The sequence below is a fragment of the Homo sapiens genome, chromosome 2 (genome assembly GCF_000001405.40).
Source record: "Homo sapiens chromosome 2, GRCh38.p14 Primary Assembly".
NCBI lineage: Eukaryota > Metazoa > Chordata > Mammalia > Primates > Hominidae > Homo > Homo sapiens.
The window spans coordinates 130,895,607-130,918,325 of record NC_000002.12 but is presented as its reverse complement, the minus strand read 5'-3'; the positions used below and the strand labels follow the sequence as shown (position 1 = coordinate 130,918,325).

General features: G+C 46.8%; 1 protein-coding gene across 4 annotated transcripts in view, besides 1 other annotated feature; it reads right to left on the bottom strand.

Annotated features, from left to right (window-relative positions):
- Positions 1 to 22,719, bottom strand: part of ARHGEF4 (Rho guanine nucleotide exchange factor 4) — a 210,340-nt gene that overhangs the window by 128,928 nt on the left and 58,693 nt on the right. Inside the window, exons 2-3 of one of the 4 annotated variants that reach the window (NM_015320.4) lie at positions 1,265 to 4,340; positions 828 to 929 (exon numbers count right to left, since the gene is read on the bottom strand). The exons of 1 other annotated variant lie outside the window; for it this stretch is intronic. Coding sequence is in view for 1 of the 3 variants with exons in the window: in NM_001367493.1 (NP_001354422.1) it covers positions 828 to 4,340 (3,513 nt within the window). In the remaining 2 variants the exon portion in view is untranslated. Of the gene's footprint in view, positions 1 to 827; positions 4,341 to 22,719 lie in introns of all 4 variants that reach the window. 2 more of the 4 variants (NM_001375901.1, NM_001367493.1) reach the window with 2 other exon arrangements.
- Positions 20,477 to 21,075: an enhancer, noted in NCBI's record as "H3K27ac-H3K4me1 hESC enhancer chr2:131654824-131655422 (GRCh37/hg19 assembly coordinates)". NCBI's record gives its function as "activates a minimal SCP1, AML or CMV promoter by ChIP-STARR-seq in primed H9 embryonic stem cells {active_cell/tissue: H9 hESC(primed)}" and the evidence as "EXISTENCE:reporter gene assay evidence [ECO:0000049][PMID:30033119]".

Genomic DNA, 22,719 nt, shown 5'->3' with positions numbered 1-22,719 from the left:
CTATCCTGGACAGAAGCGGTCACTTTGTGGGAGAGACCATCTTACTGCACTAAACATTTCAGAAGCACCAACATTTCCTGTCTCTTTATACGAAGTAAGTCCAGCTGGATCAAATTCTAAATACGATAAAGTAGAAGCCATTAAAGTACTAGAAGACAACATGAGGAATTTTTTTAAATGCCACAGTGGAGAAGAACTAGGTTTAACACAAAAGCCTGCACAGACCGTTCAATAGAAAATGGGCAGTGCCGGCCGAGGCGGGTGGATCACGAGGTCAGGAGTTCAAGACCAGCCTGGCCAACATGGTGAAACCCCGTCTCTACTAAAATAACAAAAATTAGCCAGGCGTGGTGGCGGGTGCCTGTAATCCAATCTACTCGTGAGGCTGAGGCAGAGAATTGCCTGAATCCGGGAGGCAGAGGTTGCGGTGAGCCGAGATGGAGCGACTGCACTCCAGCCTGGGCGACAGAGCGAGACTCCGTCTCAAAAAAAAAAAAAAAAAGAAAAAAAGAAAAAGAAAAGAAAAGAAAATGGGCAGTGCCCAGGGAGCAGGCAGTTCATACAAAAGAAAATTCAAATGGCTTGAAATTAAAGAAAAACACGAAATGATCATGAAATGCCAATTCTGGCTTGTTAGCTTGGTAACGTTCAAGAAGTTGGTCACCCGCTGTGTTCACTGGGGGAGGGGGGGCGGCTGGGAGTGTAACGGGGGCAATTTTGGCCTGGCCTTCCTATTTTACCTCTCCCCTCAGGAAGATTCCCGCCTGCTCCCCTCCTTCTCTTGCCTGCAGAGGTCAGGAAAGGCTTGGTGCGATTCAGATACTCACCTCACTCCCAGGAAGGTCCCTGAGCCAGGGCACTGTGCCCAAGCCGCGCGGACCCTGGCCTCCTTCCCTGCTCTCTTCCTTCTGCTCATCTTGGTTTAGCGTCTGCAGAGAAAGCAGGAAACTGGTCTGGCCCTTGGGAATCTTGGGTCTTTCAGGGTCCCCTGAACTGCTGTCCACGTAGCTGTAGCTTCCAAGAGAAACCATGGAGATGGCGCTACCCCTCCCGGGGTAGTGGAGACCCATCCGCTGAGCACTAGGCCTGGGACTCAGGGGCTTGGGGCTCGTGGGTCTGCAGGGCGTCCCGGGGTTTTCATATGCCAGGCAGCAGGCAGAGCTGGAAGGCAGGGTGTGTGCGATTCCAGCCTGCTGGGCCCGAGGGCTGCCGGGGGACGCCAGCCAGGACTTTTCCGGAAAGATACCTGAAGGTAGGTACCTACCGCCTTCCTGGGTGGCTGTGCACTTGATGGTCGGTTCACTTTTCCTCCTGTGTTCTGGAGAAACTAAACTGGAGGACAAAGGTGTGGAGGCAAGTGGGGGTGCCCAGTGATCGCTAAAAACATAGCCCTCTTTGTCCTCCGCCCGTTCCTCACAGTGGCTGTCGGTCTCTGCTGGGGAGAGAACTTCGGGTCCTAGAGGCAGACTCACTAGGGTGGGCTTTTTGGGGCTTCCGGCATCTTTGCTTTTCAGAAACGCCCGCCAGGAACCCTGGCGCAGCCTGCTCTTCTCCTTCTCGCCCTTGGGAGAACTTGGGGAACGTTCATGGGTGTTCTCTTTCTCTAGAACTATTGACTCAATAAAGTTTGAAAAGGTCTTATGAGCCAAGGCCAACCTTGCCCTGAGTTTTTTCTCCGTTGTTTTGAGTCTCTTTGCGTTGCAGCTCTCAGAGGAAGGCCCTCGGCTACCAAGATCCCCTGAGGTCCCCGTGTGCCCCGCTCCTGCCGGCCCTGCAGTCCTGTCGCCTGCAGCCTGCGGGACAAACTCGGGCCAGGCGCTGGCGTCCCCGTGGTGCAGAGGCGGTGCGTCCCGACCGGCCGCAGCGGGCGGATTCTCCCTGGGGAGCCCCTCGGGGCCTGAAGAGCCCCAGCGGCGACCCTCGGTGGTCGGGGCCGGGACCCCTCCTGGGCTCTCAGTGGCCAAGGGCCTGCCCTTCCTGAAGGAGGTCACCTTGGAAAACGTCGGGCGCTTCCCAGGCTCCTGCGCGCCCTTGCGGAGCCCGCGTGGCGGCTGGGGCGGCTCCAAGGCGGGGACGCGGGGGCGCTGGCCCCGGGCTGCTGCAGCACCGCCTTCGGGGGCCTCCTCCGGGCCACGCTCCCCTGACCCGGAGCTCCGGCTCTCCCCACGCAGTCTCTCTCCCGGGGGCTCCTCTGTGCTCGGCGTCTCTTCCGAAGCAGCTTGGGGGACCAGCACTCTCCCAAGCTCTGCGGCCTGGGCCACCCGCTGAAGAGCCCCATCGCCAGCTCCCTGTATGGGGGCTGCTGGCAACTCACACTCATTACCGGCTGGTGTTTTCCCCCTAGTGGGAGACTCACAGGGGGTCTCGCCAGTGCTCAAGGGAGATTCTGGTCTTTCCTTAGGAAAGTCACGGGGCAGTGTTTCTGGAACAGGCCCCGCATTGCTCCTGCTGGCCTGAAGACCTTTCTGCTCCACAGCTACAATGATGAGGGCGCCCCTGCCCCTCGAGGCCTCGCCGCCTGCTTTGGGCTCCAGCTGCCGGCCCCCGGCACCCCCAGGCCCCTGTTCACCCTCCTCAGCCCCGGGGCCGCAGTGAGACACCGTGGCTGCCTTGAATTCTGAAAGACCTTGCAAAGCCTGTTCCCTGTAGTTGGGGTCTAGAACCATGGCTTCTTCGGCTGCCTTTGAAGTGTCTATTGCGCTTGATTTCTGGGTGGTCTCAGGGGCATCTGAACTGTCACTCACTTCCAAGCAGCCCATCAAGTCTCCACTCCACACCTGGGTCCCCTCACTGCTAGGCTGCCGTGGGAACTTGGCCCTGGTAGGTGACTTGCTTTCCTCGCTGAGCACATACTTTGATGTGTAATTACTGGTTTGGTTTCCTGCCTGGACAGAAATGCCCCAGAGGTGCTTCTGTGTCTCTCTCTCATCAGCAGCTCTTGGTGCGAGTTGGGTGCCTTGGGGTTCCTGGGTTCTGCTTTCTGGGCTTTGCTCTGACTTGCACTCAGCGGGCTCAGGCACTTCCTCTGCACTGAGCTTCACTAACTCTGAGGTGAGGCATGAAGCCACCAGACATGACCTGGAATCCTGTCTTAACTGGTTTTCCCCCAGGAGACCTGCAGAAGGAGTGTCCTGAGAGGCCCTTTGCAAGCGAAACCCACCAGGCTTGCAGGGACCCTGCAGATGGGGAGCCCCACTCTGAAAAGCAGGAATCGGGCCAGACAGCTGGGTGGGTGCAGGGGAAGGGATGTTTTGTATTCTTGGATCTCGTTCATTTTTGGCCCCTTCCTTCACATGGGTCCCAGACTTCACAACATTCTGTCCCACGGGATCCTCGGGGCACTCTGGTGAAAACCCTGCTATGGAATGGGCCCTGACCAGTGCCCTCATGTGCCCACAGTTGAGTCTGGGGGATGCCCTGTTCTTGTCACCAGTAGTTTCTGGGGCACTATGGTGACGGTTGGTGCGTAGGAGGCAAGATGTCCTCAAAGGAGGCTGGCAGGGGACATCCGAGTGGGGCTGGGACCAGAGCAATTCTGTGTCCCCTGCAGGGCCTAGAGTACTTTCCTTCTTTGTCCTGGTCCCCAGAGGGGCTGTGTTGTCCAGTGGGCCTCTGCTAGGTAGCACCAGTGCCCTGGCCCTGTTGTGGATATGTGGCCAACTCCGACCCAGTTCACAGCACCAGAGAAGGAAGGGCCAGACCACTGGGATGCCCAGATAGCTCTCAGACCTGGATTTCTGAAGAGAAACACTGGAGAGCCCTCTGAGGTCTTGAACAGCCACCCCCTGTACTGGCTCAGGACCACTGCTGTCTGTGGCCCTCTGTAAGCAGCACCCTGTGTGTCGGGGAACCCCTGCCAGCAAAGACTCTCGCTCCAGGCTGGTCGCGCAGTCCCAGAGGTGTCCTGCCTCCTGTTCTCCAGCAACTGTGGCAAAGGCTCGCCACCCATTTTTGCAAGAGTCATCCTCTAAGCTAGGGGACAAATCGAGTTCTTCCTTTGCATGAAGCCCAGGAACACTGGTCAAATGCTGCTCCTGAGGGGGTCCAGTTGCTGAGACATCAGGGTATTCCCAAGGTGCTTCTATATCTACGGGAGTACCTCTTAGAGGGTGGAAGACTCCCCTCGGGAGGTACCCAGACAAGGACTCTGTGTCAGAGGCACTTTCAAAGGGGTCAGTTTTTGTGTCTGATCCACTTTCACTCTGCTGGGACAGCGTTTCAGAATCATCGCGGTCTGTTTGCTGGTTCCATCCCTGCTCCACTTGTTCTGCAGGGGATGTGGGGAGCTGGTTATCTTCAATCTCACCTTCACCTGGCAGGTGTGCACCTGGCTCTGGAGTCTGGGAGGGCAAGAAGAGAGGAGTCAGAGACAAGGCCTGAGTACATCTGTGCACATGTTTACACCGTGCCTGCCTTTGCCAGAAGGAGGAAGGCTCAGAAATGGCTCATTAGTTCCCCATGTACCCCTAGGAAGGGAGGTAAGTATGAAGGGCTGCCTTTTATCAACATGGAAAACAAGTGATGAAGCCAAACCCAATCAGTAGGGAGAAAAGGCAGCACATCCTTAAAACAACCCCATTAAAAATCAGAACCGGACCAACGCACATGTGCGTTTACATAAGTATAAAAATGTTGCATGAGTCATGGCGAAAAGCATATCTCTGCCTAACGTTTTCAGCAAGAAGGAACAAATCAATATGTTTGCGTTGTTTGTTCCTATGTAACCAACTGGTTTAAAGTCAATGCCCTTGCATTTAAGAAGTGTTTTCTGAGTTTGGTTTGCTAGAGCAAAACAACAACAACAACAACAAAAAAACACAAAAAGTACAGCAACAACAAAAATGAGAATGATCGAAGTTGCAAACACATTTTGGGATGTTATAAAGCTTTGAAGACAAGAAGAAAAATACAGAACTGTGCAAGTATTTCCTTCTCTCGTTACACATTTCTTAAACTACTTATTGAGATATACATTTTCAAGCATCCATTTAAAATGCACAGATCTATGATATTTGAAAACTGAGTACATTCCTGTAACTACCACCATGATAAAAATCTAGACTGTTTCCATTTCCCCAAAAAGGCCCTGCCCCTCCCCGGTCAATCCCTGCTTCCCTCCAACTCCACAATGACCTGCTTTCTGCCACACAGTCTTGCTTTGTCTTTTCTGGAGTTTCAGATAAACAAATTATACAGTAGCCACCCTTATCCACAGGGGATATGTTCCAAGACCCCCAGCCGATGCCTGAACCACTCCCCCCCAGTACCGAACCCTATATATATTGTTTCTTCCTATACATGCATACCTATGACAAAGTGTAAGCTACAAATTAGGCACAGTAAAAAATTAACAATATTAACAAAATAGAACAATTATAACAATAGACTGTAACAAAAGTTATGTGAAGTGGTCTCTCTCTCTCTCAAAATATCTTATTGCACTGTACTCACCTATTTTCTGACTGCAGTAGACCTCAGGTAACTGAAACTTTGCATAAGGGGGGACTATTGAATGTTCTTTTGGGTGTGGCTTCCTTCCCTTAGGCATCATGGCTGTAGCGTGTCTCAGTACATACAATGACTTGAACTCTGACAAACTGCTGTGCACAGCAGTCGATGCTCAAACTCCCCAAAGCTCCCCCAGGCCCAGAGCTGGCCAAGCACTCAGCCCCATTGCTCACGAAGGCTCCTTGACACAAGCTTTGTACTGAAGCCATTCACCCCACCGGCCCCTCCCAGGCATGGTTTCCCAGGACTTGTCATAAGAGCTTTCTCAAAGTAAAATTGCTTTTAATTCTTAACTGAGAGAAGGAAAACAAACACACACCAAAGCCAGTGCTCTTAAGGTGCAGGGTAGAACATGAGGAATAACATGATCCTGCAGTTTCAAGTAAGTTGCAAAGCAGAAGGCGTTCGGAATAGAAAAGCAAACATTAAAAACCAAACCATTTGGGAAGGAGGGCTGTGTGGTTGTTACAGGACGTCCCAGAGGAGAGAAGTGAAGGAACCAGGGGTCTGCTGCAGGAACTGTCTCCGGCCGCTGCCTCCGTGGGGCCAGGCGCCCTGACTGTACGGCAGGGCCAGACGCCTTCAGCGTGCCTACCTCCCACGGCAAGGAGAGGACCAGTGAGACATGGACATGAGCACGCCCGGACAAGCACAGAGAACTGTGCAACTGCAAGTGGTTGCTGTCATTAACCAGTGAACTGAGAGGGCTGCTAAGGCCGGGCAGGGTGCTCAGCTCAGTGACGCCTGCCCTGCAGGGCGCTTGCAGCCCCTCATCTCACCAACCCGTCTTAGACACCAAGAACTGATCTAAGGGACACTGGAGCCATCCTCTCAGCATTGACATAGCTTGATGTCACCTTCCAGACTCACGCAGGCATCATTGCTTACATGAGCAGACACAGAGAATCCCAAGTCCCAAGTTCCAAATGACTAACGATCAGGACCCTGGTGACTAGAATGCCAGTGGGCTCGTTTCTGCCCTCCCTGCCCAGCATCGCTGCCCAGGGCACTACCTGTGAGGCAGGGGCTGGCGTCTTGCTGGGGGGAGGGGTCCAGCCTTTGTCTGAGTTCCAGGTTATTTTGGCAAGAGGCCTCCCTCAGTCTCAATGAAAACAAAAGCCTTTGGGGGAAAAAAAATCTAAGATGACTCTTCCAGGTAACAAAGCTGGTGTAGTCTGCGCAGCTGCACTGGAAGAGCAGGTTTGACTGATTGCAGTGTACAGATACTGAAATTCAATGAGTACATCAAAAACAACATTTGATTTGATTGAATATTGGATTCTAATCTTATAAAGACTTTCTTCCTGAGTTGATTCAGGAGCGATCCCCAAATAATTTCTCAGCATAAAGTGATGTAAGTCCAGGGTTATGTCCTGGGAATGGCCTGGGGCTGGAATCTAGACCAAACAAGTATTCTTTCTGCGGAGGCTCAGGGTTTTTACAGGGGTGGGAGTGGGTTAAATTTGAAAGTCTGAAGCAGGCAGGCTCCATTTTGCCACAGGCCTGGCACTTCCCAACTGTCTTATTCTATAACTAGATGAGGCTTTAGGGCAAGATGCTGAGCCTGTCTCCTGTAAGAAACAGCTGCAGTGAGTGTTCCACAGCAGGGTGAACTGCTGACTACCAGCCCATCAGGAGGGGAGGATGGTGTTGACCGGCAGGCCCCACATCCCACCTCCTCCTCCTGACCTCACCGCTTCCCTGCCCGCTGCCCCGACGTTGGCCGAAACCTTCAGTGGAGCTAGCCTCTCCCCACCTCTCCTCTGCCCTCTGCAAACTCCTCAATAACACAGTTTACATTTAATATGCACACTTTCCTATGTGTCATTCACTTTTTAGAGAATATTAGTATGTGAGGACACAGTGTCCCTTCTAAAAACCACTAGTTTTAATCTGTGGTATGTCCATTATCTTGGCAATCCTAATTTTTAAAATAAGCTCATTATAATTTCCTTTTTGACCTGTGACTTATTAGAAGTATGTGTTAGTTATCTGTTTCTGATTTCTATTTAATGACACTGTCATCAAAGAGTCATCTGTGTGATACTGATTTTTTGAAGTTAGTTGAAACTGGCTTTATGACATAGTACAAGGTCCTACTTTGGAGATGTCCCATGGGCGTTTGAAAGGATAGTGCATTCTCTAATGGGTCGGTGCAGTGTTAACAAGGGCTCATTAGATCAGCCTTGTTGACTGTTTAAATCCTCGGAAGTCTTACTAGTTTTTCCTCTGTGATTAGGAGAAGCATGTGGAAACCTCCCACTGTCCTAGTGGATTTGTCAGTTTCCTCTTTTAATTCTGTTACAGTTCAGCCTTATGTGAGCAGGTGCATAAACAAGTTCAGAACTGTTACATCTTCCTATGAGTGGCTCCTTTATTACCAGTGGTAATAAAGGCTTTTTTACTTTCTTATCCCTAAGAAAGACTTTTCCTTTAAAGGCCATCCTCTGATATTAATATACCCACACCAGCATTCTTTTGGTTAGTATTTGCCAACCATGTATTTTTTCCATCCTTTTATTTTCAATCTTTCAATGTTCTTTAGGTGTGCTTTTCATAACCAACATATAGCTGGACTTTCCAAATTGAATCTTTCAGGCACTTTTTTTTATTATTATACCTTAAGTTCTGGGGTACATGTGCAGAATGTGCAGGTTTGTTACATAGGTAATTACGTACCATGGTGGTTTGCTGCACCCATCAACCCGTCACCTACATTAGGTATTTCTCCTAATGCTATCCCTCCCCTAACCCCACCCCCAGACAGGCCCTGCTTTCAGTCACTTTTAACCAGCGTGTGGCTCATGAGTGTTTCTGTGATCACTGCTCTCTCTGGGGTTCTACCTCCCACTGAATTCCATACTTTTTGAACTCTTCCTTCTTTTTTTGTCCTGGGAATTTCTTTTGTGTGTGTGAACTCAACTAAAGATTGTTTAGGATGATATGTTTTACTTCTAGGTTTAGCTTTTGTTATGAGGAGCTTTTCGGGAAATGTGTAGTGGGCCGTGATTCTGGAATCAGAAGTTCTGGACACTGCTCCCAGGGTCTGGCTGCCACCCCGCCCAGCCCTGAATCAGCCAGCAGAGGCGCCTGTGACACTGCCAAATGCAAGGGTCTTTGTTTTATTTTCTTTGTATTACTGCTATTTACTTTTTTTTTTTACAACTTTATTGATGTATAATTGTCATAAAAAAGCCACACATATTTCAAGTGTACAGTCAAAGTTTTGACACACATCTGTGAAACCATGACCACCATCAATATGATGACCGTTGATCTCTTTCCCTTCTGCCTCTCCTCACTCCTCCCTCAACACCCTCTCCTTCCCCAGGCAACCTTTATCTGCTTTTTGCCTTTTCTAGAATTTCATATAAATGGAACCATGCGGTATGTCTTCTTTTTATCTGGTCTTTCCCACTTAGCATGATTATTTTGAAATGCACCCATGTTTTGTTGCATGTGACAGGAATTCATTCCTTCTATTGCTGACCCGTGTTCCACAGTGCAGCTATAAGGCAATTTGTTATCTATTCACCTGCTGATGGACATTTGGGTTGTTCCCAGTTTCCGGCTTCTCACATAAAGCTGCAGTGAACATCCATGTACAGGTCTTTATATGGACATGTGCTTTCATTTGTCCTGGATAAATACCGAGGAGTGGGATGACGCTGTATCAGATACACAGGGTAGGGGCATGCGTTCAACTGCTCAAGAACCTGCTCTCCATTCCCTTCCTCACTCCCCACAATGTATGAGGTCCTGCTGCTCCACAACCTCCCCAGCACCTGGTACCACCAGCCTTGTTCATGTTAATCCTCCCAGTGTCTGTGAAGCGGTATCTCCTTGCAATCTGGATTTGTGTTTCCCTCAGGGCATATGATGTTGAGCATCTTCTCATGTTTTTTCCATCTGTACATCTTTTCTGGTGACGTGTCTTCAAGTCTTTTGCCCATGTTTAAAAACTGGATTGTGTTCTTACTATTGAGTTGTAAGGATTCTTTGTATACCTTATATATAAGTCTTTTGTCAGATATATGTTTTCCAAACAGTTTCTTCCAGTCTGTGGCTTGCCTTTTCATTTTATTACCAAGGCCTTTTAAAGAGTAAAACTTTTTTTTTTAAATTTTATTATTACTATTTTTTTAGATGGAGCTCGCACTGTCGCCTGGGCTGGAGTGCAATGGCGCAATCTCAGCTCACTCCAACGTCCACCTCCCGGGTTCAAGTGATTCTCCTGCCTCAGCCTCCCAAGTAGCTGGGATGACAGGCTCCCGCCACCATGCCCAGCTAATTTTTCATATTTCTAGTAGAGACAAGGTTTCACTATGTTGGCCAGGCTGGTCTTGAACTCCTGACCTCGTGATCCACCCGCCTCGGCCTCCCAAAGTGCTGGGATTACAGGCGTGAGCCACCACGCCTGGCCAGAAGACATGGTTCTTATGCCTAGAAAAATCCCACAGTCTCTGCCCAAAGGCTCTTAGAACTGATAAACAACTTCAGCAAAGTTTCAGGATGCAAAATCAATGTAGAAAAACCAGTAGCATTTCTATACACTGACAATGTCTAAACTGAGAGTCAAGTCAATAATGTGATCCCTTTCAAAACACCACAAAAAGAATATAATATCTAGGAATACAGCTAACCTGGGAGCCAAAAGATCTCTACAGTGAGAATTACAAAATACTGCTGAAAAAAATCAGAGATGACACAAACAAATGGAAAAACATTCCATGCTCATGGATAGGAAGTTTATCATAAAACTAAACATATGACCAAGCAAATCCACTTTTAGATACTTACCAAAGTGAATGGAAAAATTATACTCACACGAAAGCCAGTATGTAAATTTTTTTTTTTTTTTGAGACAGAGTCTTGCTTTGTCTCCCAGGCTGGAGTGCAGTGGTGTGATCTCGGCTCACTGCAACCTCCGCCCTCCCAGTTTCAAGCAATTCTCCTGCCTCAGCCTCCCGAGTAGCTGGGACTATAGGTGCATGCCACCACGCCTGGCTAATTTTTTGTACGTTTAGTAGAGATGGGGTTTCACCATGTTATTAGCCAGGATCGTCTCGATCTCCTGACTTCGTGATCTGCCTGCCTTGGCCTCCCAAAGTGCTGGGATTACAGGCGTGGGCCACCGCACCTGGACTCAATATACAAAATTTTATAGCTAGAACATACCAGTCATAATCTCCACAATCAGAAAACAACCCAGATGTCCTTCAGCAGTTGAATGGATAAACAAATTAACCATGCATCCATATCCATACAATAATACAACTCAGCAATAAAAAGGGACAAACTGACTGGGCATGGTGGCTCATGCCTGTAATCCCAGCACTTTGGGACGCTGAGGTGGGCGGATCACGAGGTCAGGAGATCGAGACCATCCTGGCTAACATGGTGAAACCCGTCTCTACTAAAAAATACAAAAAAATATTAGTTGAGCATGGTGGCAGGCGCCTGTAGTCCCAGCTACTCAGGAGGCTGAGGCAGGAGAATGGCGTGAACCCAGGAGGCGGAGCTTGCAGTGAGCCCAGATCGTGCCACTGCACTCCAGCCTCCAGTCTCCAGAGCGAGACTCTGTCTCAAAAAAAAAAAAAAAAAAAAAAGGGACAAACTATCAATTACACAGTAACTTGGAAGGACCATAAGTGCATTTTGCTAAGTGAAAGAAGCCAAACTCAAAAGACTGCATATTGTATGATCCATTTATACGGCATTTTGGAAAAGGCAAAGCTACAGGGATGGTAAACAGATCAAGGGTTTCCAAGGGCTGGGGACTGGGGACTAGAGAATGATTTTACTACTAAAGGGCAACACGAGGGAAATTTTTAAGTGATCGAACCGCTCTGTGATATAAATTTGCCAAAATCTACCAAACTACATACCACCAGGAGTACATTTTACTCTATACAAATTAAACCCACCCATACCCACACCCACACCAGAACATTGGGGAAACCCAAGATGGACTATAGACTGACAAATGACTCTAGCTGCACTCCAAATTAATGATATAGCCATGCTGACAGGGGTAGGAAATAAAGGAGCTGACCTAAGGAACTTTAGAGAATGACGTGTCGACTGGATACTGAGAGGCTAAAGACAAAAAGAACTTTGAACGCTGTACTTTAGTTGCAACATTTCTCACAGAGTTATGGGTTAGCAATCTGAAACTATTTTACATGTATACGAGGGCTGGTTCGCCATGTTGGCCAGGCTGGTCTCTAAATACCTTGTGGATAATGAGAACCAGGTTTCTTACCATCAGAAAAAGAAGTTACAAACAAAAGCTTAAGGCTAGAATGAATCCTGTGGTGCTGGGTTGGAGTTGGAGATATCAGATATCAGGTAACTTACACTTAAAAGTACGTACATTTTTATATTTGTATACTAATCCATGCACAAATGCTTTCACACACACAGATCAATAGGCAGATAATGAAACAACATAAATATGTGTGTATATATGGGTTAATATATACAACGTATGTTTATCTGCCCTGTCTGCTGGGAGAGCTAAAATCAGTGTCACCACAGTGGCTATGAACACACTTCAAACCCAAATCTTGGTTTCTAAATACCATTCTATAATACAAGAAGCCAGGTTCTTCTTGAAGAAGTGGTTGATGCCAGGACTGGGCAAGGGCAAATAGAAGGTGAACCTGGAGCACATTGTGGTGCCAAAAAATATGGAATTGCTCAAGAATTAAAAATAAGGATGGGAGCTCCTGAAGGGCACAGAAGCCAACTGAAAAGAGCTCTTGACAGCTAGTAAGGGAACAGTCTGGGTAACAGCATAAATAACCGTAGGACTGGATTATAATCCAAAGAATAAAGTAATTGTCCATAAACCCATACTGATACAAATAAGTGACTGGATACAGTAGTTCCCCCTTATCTGTGGGGGATACATTCCAAGACCCCCAGTGAGTGCCTGAAACTGCAGATAGTATTGAACCCTATATACACTATGATATTTCCTGTACATACATATATACCTATGATAAAGTTTAATTTATAAATTAGGTACAGTAAGAGATTAATAAAATAACTAGTGATAAAAAGAGTAATTATAACAATATACTGTGATAACAATTATGTGACTGTGGTCTCTTTCTCTCCCTCTCAAAATATCGAACTGTATTATACTCATCTGTTTTAGGACCAGGGTTGACCTTGGGTGACTGAAACTGCAGAAAATAAAATGGTGGATAAGTTGGGGGGGCTGCTTTAAATGCAAAATGGGGGAGAAAAGAAAACTCTTCCTTACAGAAGAATTCCAGTTAATAAAATACTGAAAAACTGGGGGAAATAGAGAATCACCATGAGAACTCCACAGTAAGAGTTCCTGTAGGGAAGATGTACTAATGAATGCTAAATTATGATAAAGAGTCATTAAAAGGTCATACACTGACTACGTAATTTCACTTGAGAGATTCTAACTTAAGGAAAGATTCAGCAATGTGACATGTTCATTGAAGTGTTCTTTGCAAGAAAAAAAAAGGATAAATGACTTGTGCTCAACACTCGGAAAATGATTCAGCAAATTAAGCTATATACACAAAATGGAAAATTAAACAGCCATTAAAAACTTAATTTATAAGGGCTACTTAGAAAAGAAAATAGAGAATGTGCGATAATTTTGTGTATTCTATAATTAAAGAGCATTTACAGCAATATTAAAAAACATTGAAATAAAAAAAAATAAATAATACTTTTTATTTGTTTGTTTGTCTGAGACAGAGTCTCACTCTGTCGCCTAGGCTGGAGTGCAGTGGCCTGATCTTAGCTCACTGCAACCTCTGCCTCCGATGTTCAAGCGATTCTCGTGCCTCAGCCTCCCCAATAGCTGGGATTACAGGCAAGTGCCACCACGCCTGGCTAATGTTTGTATTTTTAGTAGAGACAGGGTTTCGCCATGTTGGCCAGGCTGGTCTCAAATTCTTGGCTTCAAGTGATGCACCCACCTTGGCCCCACAAAGTGCTGGGATTACAGGCATGAGCCACCAAGCCTGGCCAGTGTTTTTTTTTTATAGTGAAAATTGTTCCTCTCCTCTAATTGCCACATAAAACAGTTAAATTATCTTCATAATTTAAAAATATTTGCAAAAAAGTTGGGCTTCCTTTTATATACATGTAAATCATAGGTCATTCTGTCAGGAATTCCAACAAACCACCAGCTCCAGAAGGGGCCATGGCAATCACTTCTTTGTAGTCCGTACAATGTTTAGGTGCAAGTTCTGACATACAGAAGAATCTCAATGTTTGGATCCTGACTGTCAATATTCCTAGCTGTTATATCAAATGGATGGAGTCTTTTTTCTCTTCAGGTGGCAACTTCTATTTCATCAGTGGGGAACTGCACTTCTAGCCAAACCTGGCAGTAATGAGGCTGTGCTCCCCTCCCCCCAGAGCAGGGTCAGAAGAGGCCCACTAAGTCCCAATACTTAAATAAGGTCCCAAGGCCCATAATATAACACCCAAACTGTGCAGAATAAATAAAAAATTACTCCTCATATCAAGAAGCAGAAAAATCTCTATTTGGATGGGACAAGGCAATCAACAGAGGCCAACACCAAGACAGCAGAGAGATGCACCAGTCAGGATGGCTGTTCCTAAAGAAGCCAGGAATAACACTTGCTGGTGGGGCTGTGGAGAAAAGGGAGCTCTTACACACTGTGGTGGGAATGCAAATAAGCACAGCCCCTGTGGAGAGCAGTTTGGAGATTTCTCAAACAACTAAAAATAGAACCACCATTTGACCCAACTATCTCACTACAGGTTATCTACCCAAAGGAAAAGAAATCATTATATCAAAGAGACACCTGCACTTCTATGTAGTGCTATTCACAATAGCAAAGACATGGAATCAACTTAGGTGCCCATCAGTGGTGGGCTGGATAAAGAAAATGTGGTACATATATGCCATGGAGAACTATGCAGCCATAAAAAAGAACAAAATCAAATCCTTTGTGTAAATGGATGGAGCTAGAGGCCACCATCCTAAGTGAATTAATGCAGAAACAGAAAACTGAATATTCCATGTTCTCACTTGTAAGTGGGAGCTAAACACTAGGTACACACAGGCACAATCACGAGAATAATAAACATTTGGGGGAGAGGAGCAAGGGTTGAAAACTACCTATTGGGTACCATGTTCACTACTTGGGCAAGAGAATCAGTAGAAGCCCAAACCTCAGCGTCATGCAACATGTAACCAACCTGTACATGTACAGCTTGGATCTTAAAAAAATGTCAGTCAGGTGCGGTGGCTCACGCCTGTAATCCCATCACTTTGGGAGGCCAAGATTGGTGGATCATGAGGTCAAGAGATCGAGACCATCATGGCCAACATGGTGAAACCCCATCTCTACTAAAAATACAAAAATTAGCTGGGTGTGGTGGCACGTGCCTGTAATCCCAGCTATGCGGGAGGCTGAGGCAGGAGAATCACTTGAACCCCGGGAGGGAGAGGTTTCAGTAAGCCGAGATCACGCCACTGCACTCTAGCCTGGTGACAGCGAGACTCTGTCTTGGGGAAAAAAAAAAGAAAAAAGAAAAAAAAAAGTCAAGATAAACAGGAAAAAACAAAACAAAACAAAACCAGCAGAGATGTTAGCATTATCTGACAAGGATTTCAAAACAGGCACCATAAAAATTCTAAATGAAGAAACGGAAAGACTCAAAAAAAAAAATAAGCAGAAGATATAAAGAACAGCAGAGGGAAATTTTATAACTGCAAACTATAATAACAAATAAAAAAACCTCGATGAATGAGTTCTAAAGCAATATAGAAAAGGCAGAGGACGGAATCAGAGAACTTGAAAATGGAACAATGGAAATTACACAATCTGGGCACCAGAGATAAGACACTGAAAAAAGAACAAAAAAACAGAGCCCCTGTGGGGCTATCCCAGGATAACAGGTTTTCCATCTCTTCTTGGGTTTTAGAAATTGAAGCAGAAATTATAAGAATGTCAGATGTAGTTCTCAAAATATGTAGAGGAAGTATTTAGGGCAAATAAACGATAACTGAAGGATGGTACGGACCCGACAGGACGGAGGCCTCTGCATGCACTCACGCTGGGAAAATGTCAACATAATGTGCCGAGAGGATTACATATGCAGGGCTTGCGTGCTACCAACTACAACATGCTTGGTTCTCTTTTCTTTTCTTTTCCTTTTTTCTTCTCTTTTCTTCTTTTCTTTCCTTTCATTTTTGAGATGGAGTCTCGCTCTGTCGCTCAGGCTGGAGTGCAGTGGCGCTATCTCGGCTCACTGCAACCTCCGCCTCCCAGGTTCAAGCGATTCTCCCACCACAGCCTCCCGAGTAGCTGGGATTACAGGCACCTGCCACCATGCCCAACTAATTTTTGTATTTTTAGTAGAGACAGGGTTTTACCATGTTAGCCAGGCTGTTCTCAAGCTCCTGACCTCAAGTGATCTGCCCACCTTCGCCTCCCAAAGTGCCCAGCTTTGGGCTTTCTTTTTACTTCCCTTGTATCCTGGCCTGGGAACCAGAGAACCCGCAGTTCTGTCAAGAGACAGAAAGGAAGGAGGGAGGGAAGGAGAGAGGGAGGGAGGGAGGGTTAAAAGCTTGCTCTCTGTTTCATTTGTACCCACAGAATTTTAATTTATAGAGGTGACTAAGTGACAAAATGGAGAGGCTAATGCCATTGAAAGGATTTTTATTACTTAAAATTTCCAAGAGAAGGGACACACCAGGCCGCATGAGACCACATGAAGAAGCACCGGTGTTGCTCTGGAGGCAGAGGGGAAACCGAGTCCAGAACCATTCTTGGGGTTTCTGAGTGAAAAGACAAGGAAGGCAGGGTAAACCACTTAAAACCAGCTGGCATGAATAACTCTGGTGGGCTTTGAGGCATAAGGGCTGTCCTTGTTGTCTGGTATCTGGCCCTGGGCTGATTTAGGACAGGGAGACCGTTGGCTTTGTGTGTGAGAGTTTAAGGAGGTTCTTTCAGAACACGGACTCAGGCCGGGCACGGTGGCTCAGGCCTGTAATCTCAGCACTTTGGGAGGCCGGGGCAGGCAGATCACCTGAGGTCAGGAGTACGTGACCAGCCTGGCCAACATGGCGAAACCCCATCTCTACTAAAAATACAAAAATTAGCCGGGTGTGGTGGCAGGCGCCTGTAGTCCCAGCTGCTTGGGAGGCTAAGGCAAGAGAATCACTTGAACCCGGGAGGCAGAGGTTGCAGTGAGCTGAGACTGCGTGATTGCACTCCAGCCTGGGCAACAAGAGCGAAACTCTGTCTCAAAAAAAAAAAAAAGAATATGGGCTCTGGATCGCAGGGGAGATGTGAACAACATTGGCCATTAATTTGGCCCTATGACGAATGGATGCCAAACAGACTCTCTTTGGCCAAAGTTCCAGCAAGAGGAAAGCCCAACAAGGGCTATGCACACCCAATGGCAGCAGTGGCCTGGTCAGCGACAACAACAGATCCCAGGGAGGCCACACCAGCCCAGCAGGGTGATCTGCTCAGAGTACAACTCAGGCAAGCCAACGCCCACCTGCCAGGCTCAGGCTATGTCAGCAGCCTGTGTGTCTCCTGGCCCTCCACCCAGCAGCAGAAATCAGCCTGCAGCTAGGGTCTCCCAATCCTCCACCCAACAGTGGAGAAGTCTCCACCCAGACTCTGCAGCTCCAGGCCCTTTCCAGGGGCAGAAGGTGGCCAAGACAGCTGCTTCTCTCCCCCAGTGGCAGTGGCAGAGGCAGAGACAGAGTGGGAAGCCCACCAGCACTGGGTACTTGGAGAACAGGCCAGGGAAAGTGCTCTCTATCCTGTGGGTCAGGATTCCCTGCTGACCTGCTGACATCACCAACAGAGATCAAAAGAAGGCCCAAGCAGAAGCGAGAAGCCAACCAGGATAGCATTGCAAATGCTCAGAAAACTAAACTGTCACTAGAACTGTAGCCAACAAAATAGGCTAGAGCTATATGCTAAATCTAAATAGGGCAAATGCTTGCTACAATAGAAGATCTAAATAGGGTCAAGAGTCTTTTAACATAAGATCCAGAATGTCTACACTATAATTAAAAATCACTCGTCACAACCAGAATCATCAAAATCACAACCTGAATGAGAGAAAACAATCCATTGATCCCAACACTGAGAAGAACCAGACAGAACAACCCAACAAAGATTTTGAAGCAGCCACCAGAAAACTGCTTCAATAAGTAATTATCAATATCCTTGAAACAAATGAAAAAAGATAAAGCTTCAAAAAAGACATTATAAAAAGGAAGCAAATACAAATCATAGAACTGAAAAGTATGGTGATGGAAACAAAACTGAATGAATGGATTTGACAGCAGAATGGAGGGCATAGAAGACAGAATCAGTGACCTTAAGGACAAGCCAATAATTTAAGATCTAACAACCTTAAAATATGTATACACCAAACAAGACCTTCAAACTACATAAAACAAAAATGGATGGAGCTCAAAAAAGAAATAGAAAAACCCACGGTTATAGTTGAGGACTATCAGCAATAGATAGGACTACTAGACAGATTATTAGCAAAAATAAAGAACAACTAAATAACGTAATCTAAGTGGATCTAATTGACATTTATAGAACAGCCCACTCAACATCAGCAGAATATACATTTTTTTTAATGTCCATGAAACATTCACCGAAATAAACCTCCTGGGTCACAAAACAAACCTCAACAAATTTAACACAATTGATATCATACAGAGTATGTTCTCTGATTGTATTAGAATCAAACAGGAAATCAACAACAGAAAAACAACAAGAAAATGCTCTAACAGTTGGAAATTAAATAACATATTTTCCATAGTTCAAAGAGGAAGTCTCAAGGAAAGTTTTAAAAATACACAGAATTGAATGAAAATTAAAATGCAGCATATGAAAAGCTAAAGCCACCTACATGATCATACATCTGCAAACCTAAGCTTCTCCACTGCTCAGTCCTCCAGTCTCTGTGAACAGTCATCCAAGCCAAGCCCTTGGGTCTCCCTTGTAACCCATCGCCCTCCCACCCCCTTGGATTCCAATCAAATCACACTCACCTCTCTGTCCCACTGCTGCTTCTGCGTTTCAAGCCATCACCCTCTTCCACCTCCTAAGCAGTGTGCCAGCCTCCTCTAGCCACAGTCCTCTCCATCCCCAGAGCACCATCAGATGAGCTTCCCAAAGGCTCCCTCTCACCTGCTTAGAGTCTTTGGCGGCTCTCCCGTCTGCCTTCCAGTGTGCTTTGTCCCTCTGGCTCCCTGAAGTCCACAGGTCAAGAGTATTGAACCACTGCACAGCAGACACACATGCTGTCCCTCCTGCCCGGGCCATCCCCCTTCCCAGTCCTGCTCATCATTTCAGGCTCAACTTAGATATTCTTCCTCCAGGGAACTGCCCTGGCTTCAGCGAGGGAGGCCTCCTGAGTGCTGCACAGTGCTGTGTGTTCACTCTTCTGCGGCATTCATTAGGCTGGGTTATAATTGCCTGTGATCAATTATCATTCCCCCATGATCCTTGAAGGCACGGGCACTGAGGTGGGCAGAATTTTGGCCTCCATAACCTTCACCCTCCTGGTATCATGCCCATGAATATGTTATGTTATGAAGCAAAGAAAACTGCAAATGCAATTAAGGTTACTAATCGGTTGACCTTAAAATAAAGAGAGTACCCTGGCTGGGCTGGATGTAATCACATGCTTAGAAGCAGAAGAGGAAGGCAGTGAGATGTGGCAGAAGCCAGGGATTCCCAGGTGTCAAAGGGCTGATGCTTCCTTGCTGGCTGTGAGCTGGAGGGGCTACATGCACAACTGATGCTACAATAGAGAATTCCACGCTCGGGCAAGAAGCTGGGAATATGAGCTGCATGCGTGTGTTTGGGAGTGGGCTGGGGATCTTCCTGGGGCCCCCTATCAAACTGAACCCCTGGTGCACTGCAGCCAGGCCGTCAAATGCTGCCCACAGAGACTACAATCTGTCTGTCACTGGCTCCATCAGCTGTGCGAGTGTGTGAGCTGCAGGGCCTTCCTTTCCAGTGCTTGTGACTCTGGCTTAGTCCTGAGAAATGTGTGGGCTTAGTCTGCCTTCTCATCTGCCTGTCATTGTTGTGTTCGCACCCACTGCCTTCTCCTCACAGGTGCATCCTGGCTGCTCAGAGGACCCTGAATGTGTGTCTGCCCAGAGCACTTCATGGCCCCTGGGAACCCAGGCCTTCCTTTCTCTCTCATCCTCTGGGCAACCTAGCAGTGCTGCTGCCTCAGGAAGCCCTCTCAGTCCAGATCCACTATGATGTACTCCTTTCTACACTGTAAAATTTACTCGTTCACTGCCTCATGCTGAGTCTCTGCTCCATGCCAGGCCCTGTGCTTGGCACTAGGGACATGAAGAAAGATGCAGCGTCCAATCGCATCTCCATAGGGGCACACTGACCTGGAGAAGCGACATAACCGCTTACCCTGATACTCCCTGTGGAAGGCTCCCCGCTTCTTCACCACCAGGCCTGAGTGCAGGATTTGAAATGGTGCCTGTGAACGCAGCGGTGCCCGGCACATTGTCAGCCAGCTGCACAAGGTTGGCTGCAACCATCCCACCCTCACACTCTGGATAGATTCAGGTCTGTCGTGCTCCTGCCCAGAGAGGGCTCTAGCCTGGGGGCATCTTTGTGCTCAAGGCACAGGGAGGAAATGTGGATAACATGAAACAACTGCTCTACATATAAAAGAAAATGCATTTCCCTATTTACAAATTTAAATATTAATCTCAGCACACACATGCATAACCCTGTATTCTGCCTGTACTTGTAAATTTCTTCTGGCACACTCACCATGTGTTATATGAAGGTTTGTTTTGTTGCTTAAACCTAAAAAGCAAATGCAGCTAAAATAGTTTCTGTCGCCCGGTATTTGCCAATCTGCAGCCTTCACGTTCATTACCTCTTTTGATCTTCCCAATTGCTTTGTGTATTACCCTCACCCCCAGTGCTGAATCAGTAGCAACATGGTATTTTAGAAAAATGAAAAGACTTTTCTGGAAGAGTCGCCACCCAGCCGTGTGTCTGTGAGTCAGGGACCTGACCTGCCTGAACCTCAGCTTCCTCATCTTGAGATGGAAGAGAGCACACGGTATTTTATGTGTCTCTATGAGTTCAACCAAACAGCAGGAGTAAAATGCCGGCAAGTAGTGGGCACTCAACAAATACCGGATCCTTTCCTCTTTTAGTTTCAAACTCACAAACTGAAGTGGTCAGAACTCAAACCCACGCCTTCTGCCTCAGGGCTTGTGGCCCTCACGCTGCTCCAGGTTGGCCCTGGTGTCCCGCCAGGCCCCACATTACCCCCGGAAGCCAGTCCTTGGTGTTGATAGGGCAGTGCTCACCGCTGGCAGACTAGACTGCGCATGGGAAGCACCTACGAATCCTCTCAGCTCCGCGGAAGCACAGGGCCTGCCACAGTTGCATGGATTCTCTCTCAAGACCCCAGAATCCACAGGCCCACCATGCGTCTCCCAGGAGGCGCTAACATTTCCAGAGCTGCAGCCAACAGCTCCAGCCTTTCCGGGACTGGCTGTTCACTTATCCACATGCTGCTTGTCCTTTGTTTCATGGGAGGTGAGGGCACGTACATTTTACTGTGTGCGCTGTTGGTTAAAAAACAAAGCCACATCCACTGACAGACAGGGAGTGCGCTGCAAGGGGAATGTTACTATTCTGCTAGCATTAGGGGACCAGGAACTAGCATTTACGCTTTCACTGCAGGTGCCTGGGACCTAAGATTCCTCTTTCACTGAACCTCGCAGGAACTAGTTCCCCTCCCTTCCCCAGCCTGGTGATCCAGCTGGGCAGACTAACAATAACTTAGTAGCGACCACATGCCTGGCATTTTACCTTATTTAATCCTCACCCCTGGATGATGATGCTCACTATTCCCATGCAGACTCAGCTGCCATAAAACCATTGGAGAGCCCCCAATGTGAGCAGTGTGGCCCTGCTGCTCTGAGACACGGACCCTGCTCTTCAGGGTGTCTGCAGCCCAGGTCTCAGAGGCCTACTTCTTCCTGGCCCTTCTAGGCCAGCCCTGGTCCTCTTTGTTTGCCAAATATAAGTGACAGTGGTTCTGAAATATTACTAATATAGCAAGAAATGTGAAAATTACTGGTAGAGGAAATAGAAAGAAAATGGGCTCAGCTCCACTCTCTGCAGCTTATTCACTGTTGTACAGTTAGCCATCCTCTCTGGGCCTCACATGTTTCATCTGCAAAATGGGATAGCCATTCTCATCTCATATTGCGGTTGGGAGGGTTCAACTAGGCGCCCGGAACATAGTGGACTACTGCAGTGAACTGCGATGTCCTTCCCATGTCTGCAGGCAGTCCACATGCTGTGGGCTCAGAACAGTTACATGGCATGGCAGCCCTGAGCCATTGCTGCCAGAATGGTTTCCACTTGGACCACAACAAATAGGAGGCTCTCCCTGTCTACCCTACACAGAAACCCTCCCATTCACCAGCATGGATGCCTCCAAGACAACATAAGTACTTACAAGAATATGGCATTACAAGTATTCTAGAACAACAGAAAGAACAAAAGTTCATGTATTAACATTTATGTAAGAGGTTCCACATATTGTACAGTGCCTTAGATTAAAAAATCAAAAAGACTATATAAAAATCAAGACCTGGCAATTTAATGGAAAAAGAATAATAGTCTTTTCAACAAATAATACTGGAACTGTAACCATATGCAAAAGCTACAAAATACCTAAATAAATAAATAAATAAATAAACCCCACCAAATCCCCAAAACCCCCACATCACACCATACATAAAATTAACTCAAAATATATCATATAGCTAAGTGCTAGGACTAAACCATAACACTCATAGAAATAAATATATAAGAAAATCTCCATGATATTGGATTAAACAAATAAGATTCAAAAAGCTCAAACCATAAAAGAAAAAAGTGAAAACTGAACTTCATACAAATTAAAGGCTCTTCCTGTTTAAAAAACACTGTTAAGGAAAAAGCAAGCCACAGGTTGGGAGAAAGGATTTGAAAAAATATGTATCTGCCAGGGAATCATATCTAGACTATGTAACAAACTCTTACACTCAGTAATAAGAAGATGAACAACCCAAAAAAAGCATATGCAAAATTTTGAGCCAACACTTAAACAAAAAAGATATACAGATGGCAAATAAGCACATGAAGT